Below are 7,209 nucleotides of genomic sequence, written 5' to 3'. Positions count from 1 at the left end.
GCAGTCACCACCTACTGACAGCTTTTCCTTCTAAATATCGCGTGATCTTCCTTTCCCTGACTTCTCCGTTCCCACTATCTTTTTTCCAGGCCTTAAGTCTGGATTGCTCCAACAACATTTCTTTCATTCATGCAATCAGTAGATATTTATTGTAATCTTTTCAGGAACCAGGTGCTAGCTACTCCCCCTAACTAGTCTCTCCCTTCTGTCACAGCTCATCATTGCCAGATCTCGTTCAGTCACCACTTTGATCATGTCAGCCCAGAAAACTTTAACCCCCTAACTTCTACTACATCTAGTCTAAATTATATTGTGTATCTCCCCAAAAACTTTATTCTATTTTTAATAATTCAGCTTTTATTTTATATTCAGGAGGTACATGCACAGGTTTGTTACATGGGTATATTGCGTGATCCTGAGGTCTGGGGTACAAGTGAGCCCATCAGTCAGGTAGTCAGCATAGTACCCAATAGTTAGTTTTTCAGCCCTTGACCCCTACCTCCCTCCCTCCCTCCCCATTCTTGCAGTCCCCAGTTTCTATTGTTGCCATCTTCATTTGCCATACTTACCCAGCTTTATTACCTGCCATCCCCAACACAAACTGTCCTCAGGCCATTCTCCTCTTTCTCCCAGAAAAATAACATACTCATTGCTGCCTCCAGGCCCTCACATGTACTGTTTCCCTCAACTGGAATGTCTTTCCTCTGCCCTCAGCCAATTTAAATCCTGCAGCTGCCTCGAGGGCTATATAAGGCCACTTGTACCACAAAGCCTGCCTTCACCACTTTGGTCCCCACCAGTTCCTCCCTTCTGATCTTTCATGTATGGTCATACCACACCTATGTGGAGATGGCTTGTTGATATCCACATAGTTCATCATTTAAAATGATTCTTATAAAGTTGTAGAACTCTATGCTTGCCACTTGCACACATATTGCCTCATTTATTGCTCTCAGCACCTCTGCAACATTGGGAAATTAGAGAGTATTTTTTTACAGATGAGAAAACTCAGGCCCAAAGAGGTTAAGAAACTTGGCCAAGGTTATACAATAAGTTAGGAGGAAAGGAGTACTTAAATTTGCATTTTCTTTCTCCAGATCCAGTGCTCACTTTGGGACTCCGCTGCTGCCAATATTATTTCAGACGTATCCCATTAACAATACACATCAGGTGACCAGAAATCCTGGTTTGCCCAGGAATGTGCTGGCTTACTCCTGTTTTCCTGGCTTAATTATTAAAAGCACCCGCCTTGACTCTCAGAAGTGTCTTGGTTTGGGTGATAAGTGATATGGTCCCCCGAGCTGTATGGCAAGCCCAGAGTTGGTTTTCAGTAAATGCTTGACTGAATCACTGTTTGGAGATTCTCACACCTGATTTTGATATGATCCCATTTCTTTTGCTTGTGTGTGGGTTGGCAGCTCTATGACCTGATGACCATGGCTTTCAAATATCAAGTATTGCTGTGTCCCCGACCCAAGGATGTGCTGCTGGTCACTTTCAATCACTTGGATACCATCAAGGGATTCATCCGAGACTCCCCAACCATCCTGCAGCAAGTGGACGAGACTTTGCGGCAGCTGACAGAAGTAAGAGTGCCATCAGTGTCTCGCCTCTCAGCCCCAGTACTTTTTCTCATCCCTCTGTTAAGAACAGGTAGATCTATGACAGAGAGAACAGGATGAGGAATGGCAAAGCCTGCCACTCTCCCAGAACATTCTGAAAAGCAATCCGTGTCCATTTTGGTAATGTAACAGGCATCATCATCTTATGTCCTCTTACTGATGCCTTCACAATTGGAAAAGCAATATACAGAGCATAGCCATTTTCTCCTCACTTTTCGGAAAGGGACTTGGTGGTGGATGTTCTGCTAAATCTTGGGGAACAGGCTCTCCAGGTCTGTGGAGAATGGGAGACAGGAAGTGTACCCCTGCTCAGGTGTGGGGTAACAGGCTTTGTCACCGTGGAGAGGCAGCACTGCTGGTCTCCCCGCTGCCCCTCCTGCCCAGCAGCCCAGTCCTCTCCTTACCTATCTGGCTCCCATCCCTGAGTACCCATCTGCCCTGCCGGTGCGTACTACTCATCCCTCTTGGAAAGTGAAGTGCTGCTTTCTGCTTGCCTTTGGCAGATATATGGTGGTCTCTCTGCAGGGGAGTTCCAGCTGATCCGGCAGACACTCCTCATCTTCTTCCAAGACCTGCACATCCGAGTAAGTCAATAGGCAGCCCTGGGAACACTCAGGAGCTGCTGTACCAGGGAAACAACCCTGGTAGTCATGAGGGCAAACAAGGACGGAGATTTTGCCCAGTTAGTGATGTCCTCAGGGTTTGCCTCTCTAATGATAAAGATATTGATAATACATCTCAGCAGTTTTTAAATGGACCAAGGAAGACAGTGATGCTGCCATTCTTTTTTGATTACCTTGTGAGTTTCTTGGAAATATAGTTTCTTCTGTTACTTCTCCAGAGGAAATATGCTGTCAAGTCAACAGCCTGATCTCAACTGCAAAACCTTTTGTTGAGCTGTATCCTCCTTGACCTCTCCAGTACTGACACTGTCAGAAGGCTGCCCCTCCTCCATGGAACTCTCACCTTTCCAGGTCTTTCATGGCTCTGTACCATCCTGGGCTTCCCTTCCCTTCCCTCTCCCATCTCAATGCCTCTTACTCCTTCCTCTCCCGCCATCTGTCTCCAAACCTTACTCCTGTCTCTACCCACCTCCTGCTAATTAGGCATCTCCTTCCTCACCCTTTTGTCTACCAACTCCTCTGCCTGTGACTCCTGAGTCTAACCTCTACTCTACCCTGGCCCCACCCCTGCCCTCCAGACTCACATCTCCACCACCTTGCTGAAACTTCCCACCAGGATGCCCACCAGTGCCTACAACTTGCTGTCTGTAGCTAAACTAATCTCCACAGTTCAGGTGCTGCCCTGACTTTCTCATTTCTTTTGAGGGCACCACCACCATTCTCCTACTCACTTGACTCAGAACCAGAATGTCACCTTTGATTCCCCTTCCCTGATCTTCATCCAATTGCTTCTAAGACCCATAGAGTCGGCGGAGCGCAGTGGCTCACGCCTGTAATCCCAGCACATTGGGAGGACAAGGTGGGCAGATCACCTGAGGTCAGGAGTTTGAGACCAGCCTGGCCAACATGGTAAAACCCCATCTCTACTAAAAATACAAAAGTGAGCCGGGCATGGTGGCAAGCACCTGTAGTCCCAGCTACTCAGGAGGCTGAGGCAGGAGAATTGCTTGAACCCAGGAGGCGGAGGTTACAGTGAGCCGGGATCGCACCACTGCACTCCAGCTTGGGCGACAGAGGGAGACTCCGTCTCAAAAACAAACAAACAAACAAAAATAGAGTCGGCCTTGTCAATATCTACACCCTCTTTTCCTTTTTTTTTGAGGCAGTGTCTTACTATGTTTCCCAGGCTGGTCTCTAACTTTTGGGCTCAAATGATCCTCCTCCCTCAGCCTCTCAAAGTGCTAGGATTATAGGTGTGAGCCACCATGCCCTGGCACGCCTTCCTCTCCATCCCTGTTGCCACCATCCTGGCTCAGGCCCTCATACTCTTGTGGGCTATGCTTCCCAACTGGGCCCCTCTCCTCCTGCCTTGCCTACATAGCTAGGCAATTCTACATCCTAACTTTTAAAAACACATTTTCTAGCCAGGCACAGTGGCTCATGCCTGTAATCCTAGCACTTTGGGAGGCCAAGGTGGACGGATCACTTGAGCCCAGGAGTTTGAGACCAGCCTGGGCAACATGACAAACCCCATCTCTACCAAAAATACAAAATTAACTGGGCAAGGTGGTGCGTGTCTGTATTCCCAGATATTTGGGAGGCTGAGGTAGGAGGATCACTTGAGCCCAGGAGGTCAAGGCTGCAGAGAGCCAAGATCATGCTACTAGGCTGGGCGCAGTGGCTCACGCCTGTAATCCCAGCACTTTGGGAGGCCGAGGCGGGTGGATCACGTGGTCAGGAGTTTGAGACCAGCCTGGCCAACATGGTGAAACCCCGTCTCTACTAAAAATACAAAAATTAGCCAGGCGCCTTTAATCCCAGCTACTCGGGAGACTAAGGCAGGAGAATCGCGTGAACCTGAGAGGCAGAGGTTGCAGTGAGCTGAGTTAGTGCCACTGCACTCTAGCCTGGGCGACAGAGCAAGACTCCATCTCAAAAAAAAAAAAAAAATCATGCTACTGTGCTCCAGCCTGGGCTGAGACCCTGTCTCAAAAAAATAAATAAATAAATAAAAATAAAATAAAAACACATTTCTGAAGCCTCGGCAACATGGTAAAACCCCATCTCTACAAAAACAAAAATTAGCCAGGCATGGTGGCGCATGCCTATAGTCCCAGTTAGGAGGCTGAAATGGGAGGATGGCTGCAGTGAGCCATGGTGGATCCATGATTCAGACCAGGTGTCAGAGCGAGACCATGTCTCAAAAAAAAAAAAAAAAAAAAAAAAATTCTAAGCTTCTGAATTTTGAATGTGTCTCTCTTGGACAGGGCTTTGTTTCCTGCCACAATTTAACCAACTGATGTGGGAAAGATGGTATGATATGGTAAAACAAGCCCAGGCTCTGGAGCCAGACATGTTTCTCTTTTTTTTTTTTTTTGAGACAGGTTCTCATTTTGTTGCCCAGACTGGAGTATGGTGGCACAATCATGGCTCACTGCAGCCTCAATCTCCTGGGCTCAAGTGACCTTCCACCTCAGCCTCTCGAGTAACTGGGACTACAGGAGCATGCCACCACGCCTGGCTAATTTTTTGTATTTTTTGTAGAGACAGAATCTTGCTTTGTTGCCCAGGTTGGTCTTGAACTCCTGAGCTCAAGCAATCTGCCTGCCTTGGCCTCTCAAAGTGCTGGGATTACAAGTGTGAGCCACTGTGCCCAGCTTCACCTTTCTCTTTGAATCTCAACTCCAGAGCTGGCCACAGTGGCGAGTGCCTGTAGTCTGAACTACTTGGGATATTGAGGCAGGAGGATCACTTCAGCCCAGGAGTTCAAGACCATCCTGGGCAACATAGTGAGACTCTGTCCTTAAAATAAAATGTTTTGTTTTTGAGACAGAGTCTCACTCTGTCTGGAATGCAGTGGCACAATCTCGGCTTACTGCAACCTCCACCTCCCGGGTTCAAGCAATTCTCCTGCCTCAGCCTCCCAAACAGCTGAGATTACAGGCGCCTGCCAACACGCCTGGCTAATTTTTGTATTTTTAGTAGAGATGGGGTTTCACCATGTTAGCCAGGCTGGTCTCAAATTCTTGACCTCAGGCGATCCGCCCGCCTCAGCCTCCCAAAGTGCTGGGATTACAGGCATGAGCCACCATGCCCAGCCAAAATAAAACAATTTTTAATTAAGAAAATGAATCCCAACTATAGGACTAGCTCCATGACCTTGGGCAAAATAACTTCTCTTAAGTCTTAGTTTCTTCATCTGAAAAATGAAAATTATAATACCTAATTTTGTTGGATTAACTGAAACAGCATATGTAACATATATGTATTTGTTTGTGCATATACAGAGAGAGTGCTTCTGGAAGCATATGCAAGAAACTGTTCACAGTGCACAGTGTTGCCTTCCAGGAGTGGGGAACTATATGGAGGACAGGAGAAGGAGACTGACTTTCCATTATGTATACCCTTTTGAGAACTTTGAGTTTTGTACCTGGGCAAAATAAAATTTTAAAAAGGGGAAGAAATGCAATGTATTTAGTGCCTTATTGTATTTCCCTTCCATGGACAAAGGAAGATAAATAGATTTCAATTCTGATGCCAAATTTTTCTTTCTTTTTTTTTTTTTTTTTTTTTGAGATGCAGTCTGGCTCTGTCGCCCAGGCTGGAGTGCAGTGGCACCATCTCAGCTCACTGCAACCTCCACCTCCCTGGTTCAAGCAATTCCCCTGCCTCAGCCTCCCGAGTAGCTGGGATTACAGGTGCACACCGCCACATCCAGCTAATTTTTTTGTATTTTTAGTAGAGACGGGGTTTAACCACGTTGGCCAGACTGGTCTTGAACTCCTGACCTCAGGCAATCCACCCGCCTCGGCCTCCCAAAGTGCTGGAATTATAGGCGCGAGCCACAGCGCCCGGCCTTATTTTTAACTCTCATGAAGAATTGTATTTGCTATGGATGAAGCAATAATAACATCAATATAAATTAAGATCTCTGTCATTGATTAAAATAAAAAATATGAAAGTACAAATAAGATTAAGTTTTTCATTAAATTTAAAATAACAATTTTGAAATATTAAAAATTCTGTATCATATTGTTATCAGGGCTGCATATTTGGGTATTATTTTATGGATTGGTAGTAACATAAACAGCCATATTGATTTCCCAGTTCCGACAAGATAAAATTCATTATAATGAAAAGGCTTTCAGCTGGGTGCAGTGGCTCACGCCTGTAATCCCAGCACTTTGGGAGGCCAAGGCGGGCAGATCACAAGGTCAAGAGATCGAGACCATCCTGGCCAACATGGTGAAACCCCGTCTCTACTAAAAATACAAAAATTAGCTGGGCGTGATAATATTCTGACTGGGAGTGATGGCTCATACCTGTAATCCAAGCACTTTGGGAGGCCAAGGCCGGAGGATTCCTTGAGCCTAGGATTTCAAGGCTGCAGTAAGCTATGATCATGTTCACTGTACTCCAGTCTATGCAACAGAGCAAGACTCTGTGTCAAAAAAAAAAAAAAAGGCCAGGCGCCATGGCTCACGCCTGTAATCCCAACACTTTGGGAGGCCAAGGCAGGTGGATCATGAGGTCAGGAGTTCGAGACCAGCCTGGCCAAGATGGTGAAACCCCATCTCTACTAAAAAATACAAAAATTAGCCAGGCATGGTGGCGGGCGCCTGTAATCCCAGCTACTCGGGAGGCTGAGGCAGGAGAATCGCTTGAACCCAGGAAGCAGAGGTTGCAGTAAGCCGAGATCATGCCACTGTACTCTAGCCTGGGCGACAGAGCAAGACTCCATCTCAAAAAAAAAAAGAGGCCAGGCACCATGGCACACACCTGTAATCCCAGCACTTTGGGAGGCTGAGGCAGGCAGATCACTTGAGGTCAGGAGTTCGAGACCAGCCTGGCCAACATGGTGAAACCCCGTCCCTACTAAGAATACAAAAATTAGCTGGGTGTGGTGGCACATGCCTGTAGTCCCGGCTATTCAGGAGGCTGAGGTAGGAGAATCACTTGAACCC

General features: G+C 46.8%; 1 protein-coding gene across 9 annotated transcripts in view; it reads left to right on the top strand.

The window, feature by feature from the left end:
- The window catches only part of OSCP1 (organic solute carrier partner 1), a 32,546-nt gene that overhangs the window by 16,444 nt on the left and 8,893 nt on the right, over positions 1-7,209 (top strand). For 7 of the 9 annotated variants that reach the window (NM_145047.5, XM_005270462.2, NM_001330493.2 and 4 more), the window contains 2 exons: positions 1,419-1,586; positions 2,126-2,206. In NM_145047.5, coding sequence (NP_659484.4) covers positions 1,419-1,586; positions 2,126-2,206 — 249 coding nt within the window. Of the gene's footprint in view, positions 1-1,418; positions 1,587-2,125; positions 2,207-5,532; positions 5,710-7,209 lie in introns of those variants that run through there. The other 2 variants (NM_206837.3, XM_005270463.4) reach the window with 1 other exon arrangement.

Source organism: Homo sapiens, chromosome 1, assembly GCF_000001405.40.
Source record: "Homo sapiens chromosome 1, GRCh38.p14 Primary Assembly".
NCBI lineage: Eukaryota > Metazoa > Chordata > Mammalia > Primates > Hominidae > Homo > Homo sapiens.
This window is presented reverse-complemented; position numbering and strand designations above follow the sequence as displayed.